This window comes from Homo sapiens, chromosome 6 (genome assembly GCF_000001405.40).
Source record: "Homo sapiens chromosome 6, GRCh38.p14 Primary Assembly".
NCBI lineage: Eukaryota > Metazoa > Chordata > Mammalia > Primates > Hominidae > Homo > Homo sapiens.
In genome coordinates this window covers 143,571,137-143,595,965 of record NC_000006.12, presented here as the reverse complement: position 1 = coordinate 143,595,965, position 24,829 = coordinate 143,571,137, and the positions used below count along the sequence as shown (strand labels likewise).

Genomic DNA, 24,829 nt, shown 5'->3' with positions numbered 1-24,829 from the left:
AACCATAGAAAAACTAAAAAGGAACAAACTTTTCCCTAAGTGACGCTACCTATAACCCACCCAACTCAGTAGACAGGAAGGGAGAAGGAAAAGGTTAAAGGATTAATGTTTAAATAGCACCATCAGCATGTAATGATTCACCAGTGTGTTTATCTTTGGAAAGCTAAATTAAGTAGAACATTCTGGTAACATTCTTTATTTTTATTCTAACAGCACTTTTTTCTCTCTTTAAAAACAACAACAAAACCACCTCTAGTCCTCTTCACGAAAGAGGGCTGGGTACTGGAACTAATGTAGGACTCTGTTCCCTTGAAATTTGGATACAATTTTAAATTTGTCATCTAAAATGTGGCTATTGAAATAAAATACATGGCATGGAACTTCAAGTGAGCATCAGTTTCTCAAGACACACCTTATAGCTTGCTCTGTGAAAGTCTGAATTAAAAATATGTTAGCTCATCAGTCATTTGAGTCTGGAAACATTTAAATAATTAAGCTCCAAATGCAGTCAGCACCATAGAATTCTCATGACCCAGGCCTTGCCTGCTGTGCTTCAACAGGATTGAAAAACTCCCCCGGAGCCAAGTAAATGTGGCCCAAATCCCTGCATTTTGGTCGAATGCTGGAAATAAAGTTACCTTTACTGTTAAAAAGCTAGAAAATCAGAAACCTGTCATGTACACTTCTCCCTTTACCTAATTAGCCTTTAGTGTGTCATTTGACATACTTAACTTAGTTCATATATATTTTAGTGCCCATCCTCTAATTGAACTTTTTAATAAGCAACATCATTCCTCGTCCATCTATATTTTGCATCAAATGCGTCACACCTTATGAAGGTGTCTAAATTTGTTCTTACTATGAGAATCTAAAATTGTCTTGCTTCTAAAACCTGGTTTGAAGATCTAACAGAAAAAGACTGATTTTAGGAAGCTGTATGTTATTCATAAAATCATTATGTAACAGTCTTCATTTCAGAGCTTCCTTCAGCTGATGTGTTTATACAAAGGAGCTCTGCTAAAACAAGCTGATTAGAATAAGAGGGCGCCTATGATGTCAAACATCCCCACAGACCTGACTCACCCCACCTGACAGCAACGGCAGCCAGCAATTCTGACCTGGTTAATGAGAGCAAAACAGGGCCAAGCACTTGGTAGCAGCTCCAGCCCAGTCTCTGTAGCTCAGGCTGTTGGTTCCAGATCCATGGACGGCAAACTCTAGAGGAAGCCCATGTGCGGCTGGCTAGGTATAGGCCAAGGCCAGCACTGAGGCAGAAGCCTGGGCTTGCTCCCTGGACCATAATCAAATCAGGGGCATTCCTTACTTCACTTCCCCTCCAGTAGCAGCAATACCCAGTTTTCATTCAGTAGAGAAGGAGTGGGGCTGAATCTCCACCAATCATCGTGGATTGTTTCCATATTCCACCAGGATACTTACATTGGTTCTCAACACAAATAATTAGCCTTTAATGGTTTTTCAGGTGAACAGCTCTCAAACACACTATTTTCTTGAACAAATTCATTCCACTGACACTCACTGAGTGCTGGCATAAGCCAGGCATTGGGCAGAGCAGTAGGGACTCAACAGTCAACAAGACCCTGCTCTGAGACATCATAGTGTGGTGGGGGGATAATACACATGCAATGTCAATGGTTTTCATTCATAGTACAGGTCGACTGTCCCTTATTCAAAATGTTTGGGACCAGACATAATGAGATCTTTTGGGGATGGGACCCAAGTCTAAACAGAAAATTCATTTATGTTTCATATACACCTTATACATGTAGCCTGATGGTAATTTTATTCAACATCTTTTAATAGTTTTGTGCAGGAAACAAAGTTTGTATATATTGAACCATCAGAAAACAATGGTATCACTATTTCATATTGGTTCTCAAAAAGTTTCAGATTTTGGAGCATTTCACATTTCAGATTTTCAGATTAGGGATGCTCGATCTGCAACATGGATAAAAACAGACAACTGGAATATTCTTTTAAAAAACTAGGGCTAGTTTACAGCCTTACATCCACAGTAGGGACAGCAGAGAAAAAGTATGCATTAGAATATTGTCAAATACAAGAGCATGGAGAAATGGTTGCTATTATCATAGAACTTGAATGTCACGTTTGTGTTTTTGAAGTGAGATAACATAGAGGAAGGTGTCCAGTACAGGGCCTAACACATTCACTATTTCCCTATAAGCTCCTCGTGGGCATTCAATATTTAAATGAATCAATACTTTAATCAGATAATGTAGGAATCATCTTATAAACATTTCAGTGATCTACATTTACAGATCTTCTACCTCTGAATATAAACAAAATTATGAAGAACTTCTATAGGACTTCTATAGATAAAATTAGGTTTTACTTAAATTGCTTAACCAAAGTTTCTATCATTTGGCTTTTGAATGAATTAATACCCATTCAAGATATGAAAAGAATATGTATCTTTAACCCCAAAATAAACTTGCTGTGCTGTTACTGCTGAACTAAGAGTCTCTTCTGTAACTATTTGAAGCAGAAATGAAGATATGCCAATAATCTCCAATAAACATCCTTCCAGTTTCAACTGAGATACCTTTTTTCTAGAAAGTATTCTCTGGCCTACCGAGACCAGTTAGACACCCCCTGTGTTTCCTCCTTGAGATCCTGACCTTCCATCACCCTAACACTTACCCACTTACCATATGGCATAGCAACTGTCTGGCCACTGCTCTGCAGCCCCCACAGGACTTCCTATGAGGACAGGGCCATAATTTGCTTTGAATTCCCAGCATCTAATACACAACCACACAACCTGATGCCTAGTGGATGTTCAATAAATACCTGTTCAATGAGTTTAGATGTGAAATGGAATTTTTCCTCTCAAATAGATAATCTCATGGGGGTTCCTTTTTTTTTTTTTTTTTTTTTTTTGAGGCAGGGTCTTGCTCTGTCACCCAGGCCGGAGTGCAGGTGCAGTGGCATGATCTCAGCTTACAATAGTATCGACTTCCCAGGCTCAAGCGATCCTCCCACCTCACCCTCACAAGTAGCTGGGATGTGTGTCACCATGTCCGGCTATTTTTTTTTATTTTTTGTAGAGACAGGGTTTCGCCATTTTGCAGCCTGGGTCTCAAACTCCTAGGCTCAAGTAATCTGCTCGCCTTGGCCTCCCAAAGTGCTGGGATTACAGGCTTGAGCCACCGTGCCCAGCCCAAGGTTGGGATTCTTAACAATAGCTAATTTGTGTAATGTAGACAATGAATATGGAATGAACTGGGGATGGAACCCAAGTCTAAGTAGGAAATTCATTTATGCTTCATATACGCATGGCTTTATCGATGAGATGGACAGACAGAGGGAAGGACATTACTAGGTTAATGGAAAGAGCATAAACAAACGACCGGAAAGAGGATGAGTGACCAAATCAAGGGAATGGCCCCTATAGAGTATTAGTCGATGTGAATAGCGCCCCCTGGAGTACAAGTCCTAGTGTGACTGGGACATCTTGGAATTAGGATTTCCATCCAAGGCTTTGGATGGAAAAATCTCAGTTAATTGGGGTTCCCTACCTCTTCTTAGGCTTACCTTTTCCTGAAATTGGGTAAAGCTCTAGAAAACTTACTAAACAATAGTAAACATGCAGGGGATCTGGATGGAGAGGATGGTTCATCTTACCATTGGTGTTATCCAAGCCTGCCCATTACATTTGTAGGGACTGGGGCAAGTACACAAATGGAAGCCCCCATCCCATATGCCTAAATATTTAAAAGCTGTAAATCAAGCTAACGAACTATTAGTTACCATATGTTCTATCCTCCAGCCTTAACCAATACACCTTCATAATGATCTGGAACATGGTGGCACTGAGAGAGTTGGCTCCTGGCCTGAAGCACCCACTCCTCAGAGCACCACCAGGTCTGTCCCATTGTGTCAGAGTCTGCATGCACCTCTCATATCCACAAATGCACTTCTGTCAACACAACCCACAAACAGCCATGCCCAGGCTAACCCTCGGGTCTAGGAAGACCAGAAGTACAATCTGCCTTCAATCTCCTAAAAATAGATCTAGGGAAGTGGCCCAGGAAAACCTGGAAGTGGACAAATTCCCTGTTTGAGCCAGGAATTCTAGGGCCCAAAGTAACCAAAACATGGCATAGGAAAGGATGTCTGGGTTCCAGGTGGCTCCACATTCCCTACCCTGGGAGAGATGGATAATTGGAGGAGGCCAAGGTGGCGCCCAGAGCAGGGAGGCCCCTTATGCCCACATGTCAGTGCAGCATTGGGATCGTCATCTATCGCCACTGGAATTCTCTGAGATGTCCTCAATTCCATTTGGCCTTCACAGCCCTAGGCAAGAGGTTCATGGAGGTCACTGTTGTGTCATGCCTCCTTCCTGAACTCACAGCAGCCTCAGGTCTGCGGCCTCTCTGGGCTGTGTTCATGCTGCTCTTGGAAACACATAACCCCTGGCTGGGAAAGGACCACCTTAGTCCCTCCTGGTCTCATATGCTCTTTCTCTGCTCCTGTAACAAGCTGTGGAACAGGGAACTTGATGACACTCTCCTTGGCCACCTACCTGGAACACCTAGAAAAAAACAGGAAGTTTCTCTTTCTTTCTCAACATGCTTGATGCAGGGTCATTCCAGAGTGTCCTAAATGTACCCTGGAATGGCCCACCTCCATGCTTATCTCTAAAGAATTCTTCCCACCTTTTATCTTATGCCTGGCCTACACTTTTGAAATTCAAAAGTCAGGAGCTGACTTCATTGTTCTCTGCCTTCAGCTCTGTCACGTATTCCCAAGCAAATGAACGTGGAATGTCTTGGCTGATGGGGCAAAAGGAAGCATCACAAGGCACAAAGAATTACAGAAAAAAAACCTGTTAATATTTCAAAATATTGTCTCAAATACTTACATAAAATTATCATAAGAAATGCTGTATTTTTATACAAGTACAATTCTACTTGGCCGACTGTTGGTAGGATATACACGTCGAGTTTTCATGGTAGTGGGTATGGATTTGTTCTGCTTCATTTTTGGTCTCGGCCAGTCCATCTAGTGACACGCAGCATGTGCTGGCAAGATTGTCATTGGGATAGGGAATGGGCTGAGGCCACACAACAGGGCAAAATTAACCATCCACAGGAAGGTATCATAATAGACCCTTCAAGGGAAGGGTCTAGAGGCCTGAACTTCCTTAGCACAGAAATTCAGCTATTAAGACATAAGGCTTTTTCTTTCTTAGATCTTCAGATATAACATCTAAGACAGCGTGTTCCTGTACATAGAGAGATAGAAAGAAAGCCATTGAACTCCTGGAGTGATATTTAAACCTAAAAATTGCACTGAATGGTGTTCATTTGGTGTTTTCTTCCTTTCTCTTTTTCAATAGCACCCACTTGTGATTGCAAATGCCTAATTACTGTTCAATCTAGGATGCTGTAATTAGCTTTCTAACACTGATCTTACATTAAGTCATGTAAACAGCATGGAGGAGGTGAAATGCTATGTTCCTCTTGATGAGTGTCTTAAAATAACAGACTTAAGCAACCACAGGCTGACAGACATTTTCTGCAAAAGCACATTTGAAGTCACAGACTGGCATTCTCCTCTGAACAATTCCAGAAGCTCATTAGGCCTTGCATGAAACACTGTGATGTTTTTATGAATGTGGGTCCTCCATCTTCATGGTGGTGAGTTCCTAAAAGTCATCTGCAGCACATGAAAAGTTTTACTGACTGGAAGACCAAATACGGGGAAAATACCAAACTAAAAATCCATTTTATAAAAAGACAGATTTTAATGAACATAAGGCTACCTAAAATTCCACTCTTATGTAAATCAAATTTATTTTTAAGTAAGTAAAATTTTCTTTTATCACTAAGAACCAGTAAACTAACGAATTTTAAACTCTGCTACCATGAGTTTTAATTGCTGAGCACAGAGTTTTCGTGACTATAATATTCTGTAATAAATTCAACCTGGGCATGATCATTATATTTTTAGACACATTGCTGGGTTAGGTTACGTTTTGTTTAGGAATTTGCCATCTACTTTGATAATTGAGACTAGTCTGCCATTTTCCCTTCTCCTATTATCCTTGCCTGGTTCTAGAATGAGCTGGGATGTGTATCGTCATCTTCTATAATATGAAATAGTTTGCATAAGATTAGTGCAATGGACTGAATTGTGTCCCCTCCCCTAAATTTATATGTTGAAGCCCTGGCTTCCAGGACCTTGAAATGTGACTGTATTTGGAGATAGGGCCTTTAAAAGAGATGATGGTATTAAAATGAAGCTGTTAGAGTGAGCCCCACTTCAATCTGGCTGGTGTTTGTATAAGAAGAGGAAATTTGGACACAGAGACACCGGAAGTGAACACACAGAGAAAAGACCACCTGAGGATACAAGACGGCAGTTGTATCAGTCTGTTCTCGCATTGCAAGAACTACCTGAGACTGAGTAATTAATAAAGAAAAAAGGTTTCCTTGGCTCATGGTTCCACAGGCTGTACAGGAAGCATGACTGGGGAGGCCTCAGGAAACTTGGAATCATGGCAAAAGGCAAAGAGGAAGCAGGCACGTCTTACATGGCTGGAGCAGGAGGAAGAGAGCAAAGGGTGAGGTGCCCCACACTTTTAAACAACCAGATATCGTGAGAAGTCATTCACTATCATGACAACAGCAAGGGGGAAATCCACCCCCATGATCCAATCACCTCCCACCAGACCCCTCCTCCAACACTGGAGATTACAACTGGACATGAGATTTGGGTGGGACACAAATCGAAACCATGTCAGCAGCCATCTGCAAGCCAAGGAGAGATACCTAGGAAGAGACCATACCTGCTAACACCTTGATCTTGGACTTCCAGCCTCCAGAGCTGTGAGAAAATAAATTTCTGTTATTTAAGCCACCCAATCTGTGGCATTTTGTTGTGGCAGCTCTAGCAAACTCATACGATGAGAGTGATTTGTTCCTTGAAGGTTGAATTGAACTCATAAAATCTTCAGAGTCTTATGAAGCATTTTGATCATTGATTCAAATTAGCTAATAGTTATAGGTCTTTTTAATTTTTTATTTTGTCATAAGCCAGTTTCAGTAAGCTACATTTTTTAGGAACATATACATTTCATCTGTTTTCAAATTCATAGATATCAAATTGTTTATAATATCTTCTTGCTACCTTTTAATTTCTGCAACTTCTACAGGCTTGTTCCTTTTTATTTCTAATACTGTTTTTTGTGCTTTCTTCTCTCTCATGGATATTCCCAGGTGTGTCATTTTCATCAGTCTTTTCATAGAACTGACTTTTAGTTTCGTTGATCCTCATATATTTGTTTTCTATTTCATGAACTCTTACATTTATCTTTATTACATTCTTCCTGCTTTCTTTGGGTAGATTCTGAGAAAGCCTTACTCTGAGGACTGACATTTGGGACATCTGGTTTTCAAACTCTGCTCTGCAAGACCCTAGTGACACTCTGGTGGTGTCTCAGAGGTTACTCTGGAGAGCCACTCATACCTTTGAGAATGTTCAGATCTTTTCATCAAAGCGGCTCTACTTTGATCAGTTGGGCTTCCGTAAAATTTGGGGAAAAAAGGGTTCCATTTTCTAAAAATGAAATGTTCTCAAAAATTTGAAGATTATTGAATGACCAGGCCAATGAGGTTTGTTTCTCCAACATCATAATGTTTAGTACTTGTAGACACTTATATTTCTATTGACAACATACTGGAGTTACTAAGTACCACCTTATAGCTAGGGAAAATCTTTCCATATTTGTCAATGCCAGAACCCTTTTAAATTGGGATCCTGTAATTCTATCTACTTGTATAAGATCAATGATCTTAAGTATAAAAAGGCTTTAGAAGATCTTTCACTGCCAGTAATATTTAGAATTTGTGCTGAGCATTAGACTAGTATTTTATTTTATTTTATTTTATTTTATTTTATTTTATTTTAGAGACAGAGTTTCACTCTTGTTGCCAGGCTGGAGGGCAATGGCACGATCTCAGCTCACTGCAACCACTGCTTCCCGAACTCAAGCAATTCTTTTGCCTCAGCCTCCTGAGTAGCTGGGATTACAGGCATGTGCCATCACGCCTGGCTAATTTTGTATTTTTAGTAGAGACGGGGTTTCTCCATGTTGGTCAGGCTGGTCTCTAACTCCTGACCACAGGTGATCCGCCCGCCTCAGCCTCCCAAAGTGCTGGGATTACAGGTATGAGCCACTGCGCCCGGCCAATATTTTACTTTCAATAACCCTTCAGGTAGAGTTCCCATGGGATGGATGAAAAAGTAGTGAGTCTCAATTTCAAAATAGAAAACTCTTACCTTTAAATATCTCATTCATTTTTTGAATATGACCACAAAAAACTATCTCACCTTTTTTCTCAACAAACTCTGGACTTAATCATTCCACTTGCCCCAAGAATACTCACTGGCAGTGCTTGCGGCTGCAGTGTTTGCTCCAAGATAACTTTGCCACCAAATATCTTGCTTTTATTATTATTATTGTATCGCTCTAGTATGTTGACTTTGGAAATAAAAGACATTATTCTATTTACAACATTCTGTTTTTAGTAGTGGTATTTTCATTTACAAAATATAGTAATTCTTGATCGCTGAAAATGTCAAATCCTAGAAAACGTAGCATTCCTATGTCTATGCCTGATGTTAACATCGTTCTTGAACAGTTGTTGGCCGAAGATTCATTTGATGAATCTAATTTTTCCGAAATAGATTATTCTGATGATTCAGATGATTCTGATGTTAGTTCTGTTTAGAAATAAATCCAAGAAGTTTTTATGTTCTATTTTCACACTGAAAATCAGGAAACTTGCTTCAGCCTCAAAGAGCGTGTTTATGTAAAATTAAATGAACACTGGTAGTGAGCTGTACCTTTTTTTTCTAAACAGGAAAAGGGTTAATCTAATCTTATATGAGGAGCTAACAGGCTTTCGACACAATTAATCCATTATAGTTCACTGCCACAAACCATTTCATGTTACTGAGAGGTAAGTTAGAAACAACATCAGATTGTCTTTATTAATATAAAACTTTGGACAACATAATGAGGTAGGAGGCGGGACTCGACTTCAAAGGCTGGGGCTCGAACACTGGACCAGATTGAGGACTAGTTAAAATAGGGCAGGGCAGAAGCAGTTTTCAATTAGACACTCCCACCAGGGTGCCATGTCAGTTTACCAGTACCATGGCAACACCTGGGAGTTACCGCCCCTTTTCATGGCAGTGACCCAATGACCCTGGAGTTCTTATCTCTTCCCTAGAAATTTCTGCATAAACCGCCTTTTAATCTTCATGCAATTAAAACTGGGTATAAATATGACTGCAAAACTGCCCTGGGCTGCCACTTTGCCTACTGGGTAGCCTGCTCTGCAGCAGCAGTCACGGAGCTGAAACACTGCCTCTTCAATAACGCTGTTCTCTTCTGCCTTGGGGTTGCCTTTAAGTTCTTTCCTGGGCAAAGCCAAGAACCCTTGTGGGCTAAGCTCCACTTTGGGACTTGCCTGCTCTGCATCAATAATTTATCTCATATCAGCCTTTGATTCCATGGACAAAAATAATTTGTGGATTTATCTATATGATTTCACATAGATACTCTGTAAATGTTACTTGAATGTTGGTATCATCTTTCATTGCCAAAAAGTAAAGTGTGATGGTTTCGTAGAAAAATAAGATAAACAGTCAAATGCTGTACAGCAGGACTATTAGTTACAACCCTCTCTCTCCTTCTCTCTCTCTTTTTCTACACTTGCAGCCAAGTAATTTGATTTAACATTTAGAATAATTATCATGTCTTTCCACGATGGCAAATAGATGATCGTCTGTCTTCATGCAGTTGATGTGGACCAGGAGTGGTAATTAGCTGAACTTCCTAGCTAATTACCACCAGAAAAAAAATAACAATAACAAAAATCTCAATTGCTAAGATAAAAACTTCTCTTCCATTTAATATGATGCATAAGGCCAGGGTCTCATCCAAGCACATGATAATGTGTTTCCAAAGTTTATGGATTGTTTCAAAGAAGAAAAATAATGTGTCCCTGCCATGAAGTGCTAGCGGCCCCAGCTTAAAATCCCCTGCTGCTGGGCTCATCCACTTCCCGTTTAAACATTCAGCGCTACATTAATTCCCTAGCCAAATCTAATTTGAAACAGAAATTACCTAAGAAGTCTTATTCTCCCACATCATTTTGAGGAGCTGGGGGACAAAATTGCTCACAGAGTTCATTCGCACACAGGTATTTTTTGAGCACCTATCAGGTGCCACGCCTGGTGATAAGCAGGGAGGGTCTCTGCCTTCATGGAGCTTGCTTTCTGGTCCCAATTAGTCTTTTTCAGAACACAGTGTTCCCAAGATGACACCATCAGACTCCAGTATGTTCCCTGAGCTACAGGGCCACAGTATGGCCTCCTGCTTGGTATGCGGCACTGGCAGCTCTTGTTTCTGAATCCAGTTCCTTACTCCTGAAGCCCTAGGTTAACTGCAAACCTGGTTTCCTAGTTCCAATGTGTTGTTCTTGTGCTGCCTGGAATCTCAGCTTCTATTTTAACTGAGATTTGGCCCTGGCCAAGTCATTCTTTCCCTGAAGACTGGAATTCTGCTTCCAGCCTCTTCCTGGTAGCTGGAATCTTGCTCCAATGGACAGACCTGCTTCCTGACAGTGACTTCTTAGCTGGGTTTCCAACACCTTCTCTACCTCAAATTCCCTTCCTCCATATTCTTGCTGCCTCATGGTGCAGATGCAGTCTCTACCCCACTAAGCCCCCACTCTCTGTCCCTGTAGCCTGCTAGACTCTTCCACTGGTCCCCCTTGGTGTACGGGTCTACTGCCAGGCCTTGGTCCTGCCCGTCAACAACTCCATAATTGCTGCTTAAATAGTCATGTGTCCCCCAACAACTTGAGTTATGACAGCCAAGCCTATAGAAGGTATGACAGCCAAGCCTATAGCTTTTTTTTTTTTTTTTTAATCTGGGTAGGACCAGCCAGGGTCTTGGGGTTTAGAGGAGAATGCCAGCATCAGGGAAACTCTTCTCTCCCTCCCCTGCTTCCTAGCCTTATGTTCTTCTCCTCCCTGGTGCCCGAGTCCTAATCTTTATTACCTGCCCATTACTTGGGTCCCAAAGAAGGAAACTTCTGACCCGAACTCAGCCACTCCTTCTAACCCTATACTTGTCCCTCCTCATGACAGCAGTGGCTAAAATGATTACCCAGAGCCTGACACTCACTGGGCCAAGTTTTGTGTGTGAAGAGGTCACTGCACTGATAGACAATACACATTTGCTCATTTCCTACAAACAAGTAGTAGAACTTGACCAACATTTGTTGAATAGTTACATCAAATCCTATACATCAGGCTTGAGTTTGGACCTTCTGAGGTCTTCTAGGCTGAATGACAATGTACCTTAGGCTCTCCAGGGAATGCCATCAGTAAAGGCAGCCTGTTCTGATGTCATGACTATAGGGAATGTGATGCCTTATTTGAATTAGGCGCTGTTTGTTCCACTCTTTATCTTTTTTCCTCCAGAACTGAGGCTAGTTGATCTTCCCTTGAAAGTTCAGTCCCCCTGAGTAGCTAAGCCCAATCCTGTCTGTACAGTGGAGGGACTCAGGATGCCTCATCCAACACTCGGAGACGCAAAATGAAGTCTCTAGTCCATTGATCTCTGTTCATATTCAAGTCTCCAGTTTTCTGGTCCCAGTCCATGACGGGCCTCCAAAAGTACAACCACAGCCCCAAGAAGTGGTTCTAGTCAAGAGTTAACATCTTTAGCATGATGCAGGGTAAAAAGAATGTATCTCACAGGAGGTGGTGATGGGTCACAGCTGTTTGGCACAGCACAGTAGTGGAACATCCTGGCTTAGGAGGTATTAACAGCTAACAGGCAGACAGGGATATAGGCAACTTCAGGAAGATAGCCTGCCAGTGGGTAAAAGAGCCTCAACCACCATTTGTAAATCCATTGTTTTATCAAACTTTTATTATGAATATCCTGAGTGCTAGACACAGTGCTAGGAAGAAAAAGTGTAGAGATAAATAAGACACCGTCCCAGCACTCTAGACCTCTCAGAATTCTGGAAGTCCTCCTTTGAATGAATTCTGGTTATGCTAGGTCCCTCTCTGGGTATGATGCCTGGCACCTATTATAGTAGTCCAGGTATTTTCCAAACAATGAATCAACCAATCAACAAATGATAGTCTGGCATCTAGCATGTAGTGAGCAAATGTATTTCCACACCAATGTCCAAAGTCTTTGGGTGTATAACTGGCAAAATCAAGCTATCAGTTCTGGGAAAATTACAGTATTAGGCACATAATATCTACAGTCTCTACTTTAGCCCTCGCTCTCTCCATACTAACACACTGCCTTCCAGGCAAGACAAAGGTGTTGTACAGCTCTGTTGCTGCACCATTCAACAGTATTTGTATTCTATACACCCTTTTTCAAATTCTTGTCAGACTCTCTGCTTTTGTGATTAAGTACAAAAATATCATTGTGTCACTCAGCAACTTTAGGATAAACTTTGAGAGAGGATAAACCAATTTTTTACCAATCATAAAAGTGAGAAAGGGATCATATTGTCATTGTAAACGGTTCTGGGCAACAATCTGAGGACTGCTGCTAGCATGTGTTTCTGTAACCCATTCTCACATGGTATAAGTGCTTTCATTCACTAAATCATGGTTTAGTAAAAGGGACTCAATCTTCTGGGTTCCCAGAAATGGACGGATTGTGGAGGAATGCTCTTTATCACTACCGTGGCCATGGTGAATTCACAGATACCAAATCCTGGCTATTATGGCAAGAATGGTCGCCCCATCATTATATTCAAAGACAAGAATAGAAATTTAACTAAATTCTAAATTCTCTGAGAAGTCTTCATATCCAAAATAGAAAGACTCATTATGATGTTTCTAATTAAAGTATGTGAATGGTGATTGCATGTTTTAAGTGCTTCAGAGTTTGAAATTAAATTCTATTTGTGAAAGCTATTATTTATATATTTTTATACCTAAAATCTCTGTAGCCTTTTTTCTTTCAATACAACTGAATCCCTCAATAAAATCTTGGCAGAGCCATCAATTTTCTTATGCCCTTTTTCTGCTGCCAAATACATCACGTACCTACTTAAACAGAATGCTAGAAGAATGAAATAGTTTTGTTTAGCTAAATAATTTGGAGAGCTAAATACAGCCACATTTAGAAAGCATTTTCTTATCTTGCTCTTATTCTTTAATATTATATTGTAAACAAATTCCCATGTCATTAAAACTGTTTACAAATATGAATAATACCCTGTAATTTCTATCGTTTGTTTATTCATTTCCCTTTTCTTAGATATGAAGGTTGTTCCCAAGTTTTTTTTTTAATGTTATAAATGACACTATTTGAATATCATTATAAATCCATACCTGATCATTCCTCAGGAAAAAAGTTGCAGGAATAAAATTGCTAAATAAAAATGAATGACAGTTTTTAAGCTTCATAACTAAACAACCAAACTGTTTCCAGGTACCTGTCACTGGGTCAAATCACCTGCTTCCTGTCTTCCTGGTATCCTGCTTGTCTCTGGTAATTTAGAATCTAATTTTTCTACTATCTTATTTTCCTTCTGACTCACTCTCCTAGTGGCGTGTTTCCTAGGGTATTTTGTAATTTTGACTTCTGAACTCATGTTTAGTTGAGCAATGTATGGGAATTGCAGGAAACCTGGGCTGAGATTCTATTTCCAAAACGATTTGCTCTGAATTGTGCTGGGTGCCCCACAGTTCTCCAACTAGAACCACTTTCAATTATTAGTTTGGCTTGGCATTTACAGACCTAAACAGGTGGTATAAATTCTAGTGCCAAATCTATGTGAGGGTGTGGACTATGGTTATGAATTTTTATGAGAGTGATAGGTCTTTTTTTCTAGCTTTTCCTCATATTGACGGTACAGCCTTTTGTCCAGGGTTTATGTGACTCACTTAGGCATTAAGACCCAAGGCCTTCATGCCAATGCCCAGGATTCTGCCTTTTGCCATCCCCATGTATAACTGCAAAAAATAGACTGGGTTCATCTAAGTCTAGGCAAGGGCAGGATAACTTTCTTTCCTTTTTGAGGGGTGGGGAGGGGAACAGGGTTCTCACTCTGTCACCCAGGCTGGAGTGCAGTGGCGTGATCATGGCTCACTGCAGCCTCGACTTTCCCAGGCTCAGGTGATCCTCCTGCCTCACCCTCCTGACTAGCTGGGATTACAGGCACCCACCACCATGTCCAGCTAATGTTCGTATTTTTTGGTAGAGACAGGGTTTCATCATGTTGCCCAGCCTGGTCTCAAACTCCTGGACTTGAGTGATCCGTATTTGTCATGCAGCAATAGATAATTAATACACATATCCATTCATCCTTCCCGCCATTCCTCCTGTTTCAGTGGAAAAAGAGCTTCTTCTCCAGGCCACCGTCTGCAGAAAAGGTCCCTTCTCTCCTTCCCAGGTCTCACTGAGTAACCCCCAAACAAGCGCCCTCTCCGAGATCATGCCTGACTGGTGGGTTCCTTGTGCTCTTCCAGCACATCTGTCAGCTCACCTCCTTCCTTGTCTTGACCTCCCAAAGTGCTGGGATTACAGGCATGAACCACTGCGCCCGGTCAGGAGGATAACTTGATACAGTCATCTACATACCTCCCGGTCAATTACAGACATCTACAGAGTCTATGCCATAGTCAAAGGAGCAGAAACCAGGTAACCCTCATCCCCTGTCCACACGGAGACTTGAGAACAAGGGTAAAGTTCTAGAATATTGAGCCAAGCCCTGAGGTTGGCCTTGCCTTCAGTGTCTGCTTATCACTCTGGTGTCCAACTCCCTCTGGTTTTGGCCCTGAGGGATTTCCCACACTTTTCCAAAATGTTGGCTAGACATTTAAAGAATATATCTGTTTTTGAGCTCCTGATGTGTAGGTGTTCTGTAATGGAAGACTTTTATAGGATATCTGGTCTGCTGTGTTGCCAGAAATGGTCCCTTCTGTAATTTCAACACCTGGTGTCACTCTCTCTCCCACCCTAGAAGTTTTAGCACCCACCTCCCAGTTTACCTCCACCCTGGTTCCCTCAGCATTCTGGGTCACTTCATTTGTGTAGGTGACCCATCCAAAACCTAAGTCTCTTAATTATCTCACCTTCTTGTCTTCAGAGACATTTATCTTCACGTTCCTTCAGCCACCCACACTATGGAGGCCAGGACTAAGTGGCTCCCTTCTTTTATTTTTTATTGTTTTATTTTATTTTATTTTTTGAGACGGAGTCTTGCTCTGTCACCCAGGCTGGAGTACAGTGGCATGATCTCAGTTCACTGCAACCTCTGCCTCCCGGGTTCAAGCAATTCTCCTGCCTCAGCCTCCCAAGTAGCTGGGATTACAGGTGTGTGCCACCACGCCCAGCTAATTGTTTGTATTTTTTGTTTTGTTTTGTTTTGTTTTGTTTGAGACGGAGTCTCGCTCTGTCGCCCAGGCTGGAGTGCAGTGGCACGATCTCGGCTCACTGCAAGCCCCGCCTCCTGGGTTCACGCCATTCTCCTGCCTCAGCCTCCAGAGTAGCTGGGACTACAGGCGCCCGCCACCAAGCCGGGCTAATTTTTTGTATTTTTAGTAGAGACGGGGTTTCACCGTGTTGGCCAAGATGGTCTCGATTTCCTGACCTCGTGATCTGCCTGCCTTGGCCTCCCAAAGTGCTGGGATTACAGGAGTGAGCCACTGCGCCCGGCCCCAAGTTGACTCCCTTCTAAAGGGATGGGATATCACTTTTGAGACGAAGCTATAGAAAGATCATGACTCCCATCTTGCTATCCCTCTCTTGATTTTCTTTCTGGCTCATGCTGAGAGAAGACAGTGGTCATGTTGTGAGCTGCCCTATGGAGAGGCCCACGTGGCAAGAAACTGAGGGTGGCCTGCAAAACAACAGCCCATGGGGAACTAAGGTCCCCAGTCCCACAGCTCACAGAAAACAGAACCCTGCCAACAACTACGTGAGTCAGCTTGGACGCAGCTCCTCCCGGCAGAGCCAGGAGATGACTGCAGCCCTGGCGCATACCTTGATTGCAATCTGGGAGAGATCCTGAGCCAGAGGGCCCAGCTAAATGTGCCTGGATTCCTGACTCACAGAAACAATAAATGTATTTCCTAAGCAGCTACACTGTAGGGTAGTTTTTCATACAGCAATAGATAATGAATACACACCCACTCATTCTTCCCGCTGATCGTCTCGGTGCAGTGGAAAAGGGTCTTCTCCTCCAGGCCACCATCTGCAGAAGAGGCCCCTTCCGCTCACCTTCCCAGGTCTCACTGAGTGACCCCCAAAGAAGTGCCTTCTCTGAGATGGTGCCTTATTGGGGGGGTTCCTTGGGCTCTTTCATCACAGCTGTCCGCTCGCCTCTTTCCTTGTCTCTCTTATATATGAAAATCTACTTAAAAACTACACACATAATAGGGCAATTTGCTAAAATGGGCATTTTTGCTGGTTTGGGGGATGTTTTGTTGTTGTTGTTGTTTTGTTTTCTACTAAAGACTCATCCTCCCTGCAAAGCAAAATGTTTTCCTTCCTTCAACCAGGACCTCTCTTGGCCCATAAGTCTCCTTTATGCAAATTTTTTGACAATAAAAATAGTATTTTATTTCCCCCACACTTTCCCTCCTCCAACAACCCCCAGTACACCTTTCCCTTCTTGTTCACACAGCTATGTTACAATAAGAAAAAAATAAGTTTTGGAGCAGGTCACAGTGGCTCATGCCTGTAATCCCAGCACTTTGGGAGGCCAAGGTGGGGGGATCACTTGAGCCCAGGAGTTCAAGACCGTCCTGGGCAACATGGCAAAACCCTATCTCTACAAAAAACACAAAAATTAGCCAGGTGTGGTGGCATGCACCTGTAGTCCCAGCTACTCAAGAGGCTGAGGCAGGAGGATGGCTTGAACCCGGGAGACGGAGGTTGCAGTGAGCTGTGATCACGCCACTGCACTCCAGCCTGGGTGCCAGAACAAGATCCTGTCTCAACAACAAAAAAAAAAGTTTTGGGGGCAGGATTATGAGGGTAGAGGGGATATGGGTAAAAACACAAATCACAATAGGCATTTTTGAAAATACGTTATTCCACTTGGTCATCGTCTTCTCCCTCATCTTTGAGCTGCTTTCACTTCTGACTCCTTTCTTCTTCACCAAGGTCTTCTTCATCTTCTTCATCATCTACCTCTCCATTGTTATAATCGTCTTCATCCTCCTCTTCTGCACTCATGTCCTCCTCTTCTCCTTCCTCCTCCTCCTCCTCCTCATCCTCTCCTCATTGTCCAGGCCCTCCACGTAGCCCTCAGCATCCAAGTCAACAGCAAATTTTTTTAAAAGGTCCTTTTCCTCCTTTTCTTGTTGGCAGGAGTGATTTTGTACCCAGCTTGGCAAGCAGGGTATGGGCTGCATTTCGGCCCCATTCTTCCCCACAGTCAATGCTCTTGAGCAGTGAACAACCTACACATCCTTCCATGGCTACCATGCTCAACCTTTCTTATGGGGAAAGCCTAATGCCACGTATCTATTCTCTTGACTTCTGGCCTCCCCTGCCTCCCTGAGGAAAGTTAAGGGCCAAGAAGAGTTGAATCAAACTAGATCATCCTAGAAGGGGAAACATGGAGGATGAGGCATTGCACTGACAAAGGGGAACTGCTAAATCTGGCTATGACTTCCCCATCCTGGACCGTGAGGATGGAGGTCTGGGGACCCCTCTCCAGCTCTCATGGAGCCCTGCACTTGACTGCAATGGTTCCTTTGTGAAGGAACAACAGTAAATGAAGCTCCTTCCCTCTTTGCATTTGGACTATGGCTGATTTAATCCATGAGAGGGAAAGGGAGGGGCCTAGTAAGCAAGTTGACTGTGGAATTCTCACAGGTGTTGGCAAACGAACGGGGGATAGAGTGTCTTGGACCAGATTTAGACAAATCTAGAAAAATAAATAATGAGAACTTACCTGCACAGTACATGCTACTATAACATTATATTGATAGTCATATTTCTCTTACCATACCTCTCGCTTTCCCTTGGTTTTGGTTGCACTTCTTGAACCTTTGCTGAAGCTCTTATTTCATATGTAAGCTACCTAAACAGGTGCTTCTAGGCTCTCCTTGCATCTCTCCTCTCTCACTTTTTTTTTTTCCATCGACGATATGGTTACCAGGTTAATCTCTTTAAATGGTTTTCAGGATCTCACACTGGTACCCAAACATTTTCAACTGTTATCTACTGTTTAGAGGCTGTAGTTCAAATGTCTGAGTTTTGTGATTCAAAGCCTTGCACAATAGGGTTCCGATATATCAATTTGGTCTCATCTCCTCTTCTAGCTTGTAATTCCAGCGAAACTGAAAACTCACACGGGGCATTCTCATCTCAATGCCTCTGCTCATCACATTTCTCCTGGTTGGAGTTTTTTTCACACCTTTTTTTGCTAAGTCAAAATCTTACATAATCTTTAATACTATTTAATGTTTCCCTTCTCACAAAGCCTCTCCTGACCTTTTTAACTGCTAGGGTCCTTCTCTCATCTTCTCTACTGTTATCTGGGATCATAATTTTATTTCCCTATGTTAGGTGATATTTTATTTTAAAATACTGATGACCTTGACTGTGAGTGCCCAAGGGCAGGGACCAAGTTGGCTACTTTTATGTGTCTTTTTTGTTGCCTGGCACAGGGTTTTGGACACAGAGCATGCTAAAATACAATTTTAAAAGACTGAATCTTCCCTCTACCAGAAGATCCACTGCAGCAAAATTCTTGGTGTTCTTAAAATATAACTTAAAATTGAAAAATGTTTTTTACATTTCATTCAACTTCTCAAAAGAAGTTCATCTAATTATAAGGGTAAATAACAACCCCCAAAATATATTTTATACAAATTAAAGCACATAAATATATAATCTGATATAGTAGTTTGTTGCTTTTTGTGTATGTTAGCATAGAGTTTTAAGTAGTATATACCTATAATACAAGCAGTGTCAGAAAATTTAGACTTCTTCAAATAATTTTTTTTTTTTTTTTTTTTTTTTTTTTTTTTTGAGACAGAGTCTCACTCTGTCACCCAGGCTGGAGTGTAGTGGTACGAGTTCGGCTCACTGCAACCTCGGCCTCCTGGGTTCAAGTGATTCTCATGCTTCAACCTACCGAGTAGCTGAGACTACAAGTGTGTGCCACCACACCCGGTTAATTTTGTATTTTTAGTAGAGATGGGGTTTTGCCATGTTGGCCAGGCTGGTCTCGAACTCCTGACCTCAAGTGATCCACCCACCTCTGCCTCCCAAAGTGCCAGGATTACAGGCCTGAGCCACCGCTCCCAGCCCCTCTTCAAACAATTTTTAAGTTAACTTTAAAAACCACAAATATTCCCTCTTTCAACTTCTGTTTTAAAACTGAAAAGCTAAATGTTAGAAATAAACTTTTCCCTTGAAGCCATTTACGTAGTCATGAACACTATGCTTAAAGTAAATAAATGTAAAATCTGTTAAACTTTTTGTTTTCTTGTATTTTAAGCACAGCTTCTTTTTGAATTAATGCAATTCAGCAAACTTGCTTTTTCAGGAACAGAAAATCACCCCACGACTTGTAAAATACGTAATCTAGAAAATGCGTGAGAAGAGAGACCTTCCAAAGCTATGTCATGAGAGCGGAGTGTTATACAGCAGCATCTCTTCCAGTTTGTCCCCTGGGTGTTATATAACTCAAAGGTAATTAAAGGATTCAGGCTTGGATCGCAAATTCTAGCACACAAAGAGTAATCTAATGTGAAGACACCAAGCTTGCAGATGCTCCAAGTTTCCAGCCAAGATAAAGAAAAACCCTTTGGATATGCAGATTATAACATCTATGTTAGTTCTGTTGGACATCAATTTAGAAAAGATTCAATTTAGTCAAGGACATTGGCTTTGTCTGATATATCTCATTCCAGAAATGTGATTATGCTCTATTGGCTGAAAACAGCAACTCTTAAAAAGTTTCTAAAAAACTTCAAAAATATTTGTTCGAAGAACTGGAACATAGACTTTTTTTTTCTAAATTGAAAACAAATGTCCACTTAGAAAGACTTAATGTACTTAAGAATCAATTGTACTCTGCAAACAATTTACCCCAATAGGGACTGGATTTTTACTTAACAAAACGGTTCAATAAAGGTTTTAAAATGATTGGAAGATAAATAAACATTAAATAGTTAAAAACAAAAAGTAATTTATCTCATATTGCTTCTCAAGGACTTTAGTACTTCACGAGAGAGAACTATTCAAACAATACATTTATAGGTACATCTGTCTTTTCAATGGAAGCTATTAAGCACCAACATCAAGTCTCTGGTGTCTTACCAGTATTACATTGGCTGATCAGTATGACCACTGCACCATCTAGTGTCCACACGGTAAAACAGCAGCTAGGGAGCGCTTTTTCTCCAAGTCCATCTTTCTGAAAGCCATCCTCTAAACTGGCGTTTTGATAGTTCATCATCAAGAATATAAAGGACAGATCATTCATATAAAGACTAAGTCACATTATAACATTTCCAGGTGTGCTAGAAAATTAAGACATGGTGCTTATAAAAAAGTACACAAATTATGTAAAACGATGTTTAAAACCTAAAGATAGGAATATGGTAAGTTATTTTTAAAAGACTTTTTGTAAAAGAGAAAGCTATCTCATCGAACTATGAACCACGGATAGAAATCATGATGTTCAAAGACTATGTATAAACAATATGGAGAAATTAATTCGTAGATGTAAAGTAAAACATTAAAAACATGAAAATATATGCAAGAAAATAACTGGCTGAAAATGTTTTTGGAGTGTTGATGATTATTTATTTGCCTATTTTTTGTTTATCATCTCTTAATTATGTTCCAAATGGATTATTTGTTACAATTAACTAGCCAAGTAAATACTGAGAAATCTAATCTGCCAGTCAACATCTAGGAATTCTGTATAGATAAAGGAAAATCTGGCCAAATTTCACAAGTCTATTAACGTGTTAATTTTTACTTTGGGTAAAGGAGTGTAGGAGGTTGTTGTTGTTGTTGCTGTTTTACACCACGCCTTTAGTTTTTAAAAAATTGGGGGAGAGGAGGAGAAGGCCAGCTGTTAGATTTAGAACAAAAATGAAATATTTATAGGAGACAGTCCTTAGTCCTTTGGGCTCTTGGAAAATATTCACATCAAATTTCCAACATAACTGACTCAGAGCCACTGCTTTTTTTTTTTTAATGCCATCAAAAGAATATAAAAGTATTTTGAAAAGTTAAACACATTCCGGGGAATCATTTTACCAGTATTTGCAAAACGATTCAACCTAAATAAAATACAGGTGATCATAAGAAGAAATTTCAAGCAAACTTAATGCCACTCCTGAGTAGAAAAAAAAATAGTTATAACTTTAAAAATCTAATTGCCTACTATGAGAGGTATCAATGTTGAGAGACATTGAACCCACTTTTATGTTTAAAGAAAACTCTTTGAACAGGAACTTTTAAGGTAGCATGGAGGACAGACCTCCAATGGCCATGCCTTTGTACAATCCCTTAGCCTTGAGTGTAAATGAAACTTGTGACTTGTTTTTATCGATAGAATGTGGCAAAGGGAACAGGACACCACTCTGTGATTATGTTACATTATCTAAGACTCTGCCTTAGTGAACTAGAGACCGGGATTCTCCTTCCTGCCTTGAGGAACTGAGCAGCCACGCTGAGGAAGCCCACAGTGAGAGCCTCTAGCAGCTTCCAGTGAACAGCCAGCAAACCAGGGGCACTCAGCCACACAGCTGCACGAACTGAATCCTGCCTGCAGGTGTAATGAGCTTAAAATAAATTCTTCCCCAGTCAGGCTCCAGATGAGAACACAGCCCAGCTGACACCTTGAGTGTGACCTGGCAAGACCCTAAGCAGAGAACCCAGCTGAGCTGCTCGCAGGCTCCTGACCCATAGAACCTGTAACTTGTTTCAGCCACTAGGATTGTGGTAATTTGCTATGCAATAATAGAAAGCGAAAACAGGTAGCATATTAAATAAAATTCACGATTCCATAAACAGTTATGGAGAACCAGACCCAGTTCTGGGCCTAGTGGAAATTAGGCCCTCAGAGTGCTGCTAAATGGAAGGACTAAGCTCCATACAAATATAAGAAAGGCAGGTAAGTGATTTAGTCCACAGTTTCAAGGACATCATAATTTAGTTGAAGAAAAACAGCCACATAATTAACTAAGATAAGTGCCAACACAGGGACAAATAACATGATAGAATGCACAGAAAAAGATCTGTTATCAACAGAAACTTTTCCAAGCTACAGAAAACCAAAATCAAAAATACTTAGAAAAAAAAAAAAAGGAGGGAAAGAAAATTCATGGGTTCACAAAACTGGTTTGGAGGTAGGGCTGGCCTCAGGCTTAATTGCATCCATTCTCAAAGCTCAGAAATTCTCTAGGCTCTTCTCTCTTAACCTTCACAGTTGGGCTGGCTCCCATGGATGACAAACATAATAATGTAGCATCCAGGGACCTCCATGGAATAGAGAAGAAACTTCCATAAGACCTAGTGAAAGTCTCCATGCATCTCGATGGCCTGAATTGGATCAAGGACACACCCTTAAACCAAGCACGCAGCCATTGATGACTGGCCAAAGCCAAGTAAAGCCCAGGAACAAAGAATGGGTCAATCTCTCTAAATCACATGGTTGATAATGTGGGTTAGAGGTGGTTTCCCCACAGGAATATAACACTAAGGCATTTTCAACAGATGTTTACCACATGACCCTACTAGTTCTGAGTAGGAAGATCACGAATGTAATATACAATGAAATGCAATATATAAGAAAATTATACATATACCCAGTGAAGGGTCTATGAGAACATTAGGTACTAGTCTTGCCAGTTTTGTAAGGACAGAATTATTTCAAATTAGAAAGTAAAAAACATTTCATTTTTTATTTTGGATTCTTATCTGATGATGACCAAACTTCCACAGATAAAAGACATTATGCTTTTAGAATTTGATGATAATAGATTCATAGCAGTAAGATTTGTGAATTTCAAAAGAAAATAAACCACTGTTGGCTGGGCACGGTGGCTCATGCCTGTAATCCCAGCACTTTGGGAGGCAGAGGCAGGTGGATTGCTTGAGGTCAGGAGTTTGAGACCAGCCTGGCCAACATGGTGAAACCGTGTCTCTACCAAAAATACAAAAATTAGCTGGGTGTGGTGGCATGTGCCTGTAATCCCAGCTACTTAGGAGGCTGAGGCATGAGGATTGCTTGAGCCCGGGAGGTGGAGGTTGCAATGAGCCTAGATCGTGCCACTGCACTCCAACCTGGGGCAATGGAGAGATTCTCCATTTCAAAAACAACAACAACCACAATGACCAAAACAAAACAAAAAAACAAACAAACAAAAAAACCACTGTTAGTGTTTGAGTATGAATCAATCTATAATAAACACATAGTCACAAACACTCACACACATTCTATTTTGAAAAAATATATAGTTGGGATATATTTGATGGAGGCATTAGACTCTAGTTTTGGTCAAGAAACTTTCAGGTTCACTTCAGTGTTGAGGCTGTATATATTGATCAGATTGACTGGAAAATTGTCATGAGATCCAGAGAAACAGAGATGCTGTTATCAAAAATTCAGCAAAGAGGGAAGGTGTCAGGACAAAATATGATGAGGGGAGAATTCAAGCCAGTGAGGAGCTAAACTGCAGAAGATATTTACACGGGGCCAAAAGAATTTCTTAGCAAAAAACAAAGTCTACAACAACAAAAAGTCTAAAAGATATTGGACCTGTAGTTACCTACTAAAAAGAAATATAGAAGCAAGAAAGAGTAAAACAGATTTTTTGGTGAAAATCCTAGTTGTGTGGCTTCCCATTTTTTAGCATATGTATCAAAATAGGCTATGCTCCTCATAATCTGACATGTTTTTGGGACCAGTGTTTCATAAGAAATCAGTTCTGTAGATGGTAGAAGAATATCTAATATCTCCTACATAGAGATCTCCCATATGGTAAATATTAATTTTCCAAGAACATGAACAGAACGTTATAAATCTAACATTAAAATAATACTGAAAGCAGGGCTCATAGGAGAAAAGACTGATTCTAAAGCAGGGACAGAGAAAACACAAGATGAGTCTGGAACGTCTTGTGGTCCCAGAAAGTAAGGAAATGATTTTTTTAATGATGGGAGCATGGCAAATGGACACAGGAGTAAACTTGTACCAAACTCTCGATAGCCAATTGTACAACAATGTGGGCAACAAAATGAGTGATGATTGACCGGCCTGGGAAACATAGCAAGACCTCATCTCTATAAAAAAATTTTAAAAAAAATTAACCAGGTGTGGCAGTGCACACCTGTAGTCCCAGCTGCTCAGGAGGCTGAGGTGGGAGGATTGTTTGAGCTCAGTCAAGACTTTGAGGCCACAGTGAGCTATGATTGCACCACTGCACCAGCCTGGGTGACAGAGCTGGAGGGTCTCTAAAAAAAGAAATAAAGTAGATAGTAATGGATTATAGGATAAAGGAAATATCCATGAGACCACACTAATACAAATAAATAACTGAATGAATAAATAGCTCAGAAGAGGTAGCTCTTCATTGTAGTAGAATTCCAATTGATAAATGCAGAAGGATGATAACTAGAAAGTCACCATCTGACAAACACCGCAATGATAATTGTTACTAACAATGATAATTGTTAGTGGGATAATTGGCTAAATTTGAATGACAGCTGCAGATTAGTTAGAAGTACTGTACTGTACTGCTCTTT

At 40.9% G+C, this 24,829-nt stretch overlaps 1 protein-coding gene across 1 annotated transcript in view, besides 1 other annotated feature; it reads right to left on the bottom strand.

The window, feature by feature from the left end:
* PHACTR2 (phosphatase and actin regulator 2) overlaps positions 1-24,829 on the bottom strand; it is a 294,308-nt gene that overhangs the window by 235,220 nt on the left and 34,259 nt on the right. The gene's annotated exons all lie outside the window — the stretch shown is intronic.
* Positions 20,464-20,513: a silencer, noted in NCBI's record as "silent region_17630". NCBI's record gives its function as "represses an Ori minimal core promoter by ATAC-STARR-seq in GM12878 lymphoblastoid cells {active_cell/tissue: GM12878}" and the evidence as "EXISTENCE:reporter gene assay evidence [ECO:0000049][PMID:35858748]".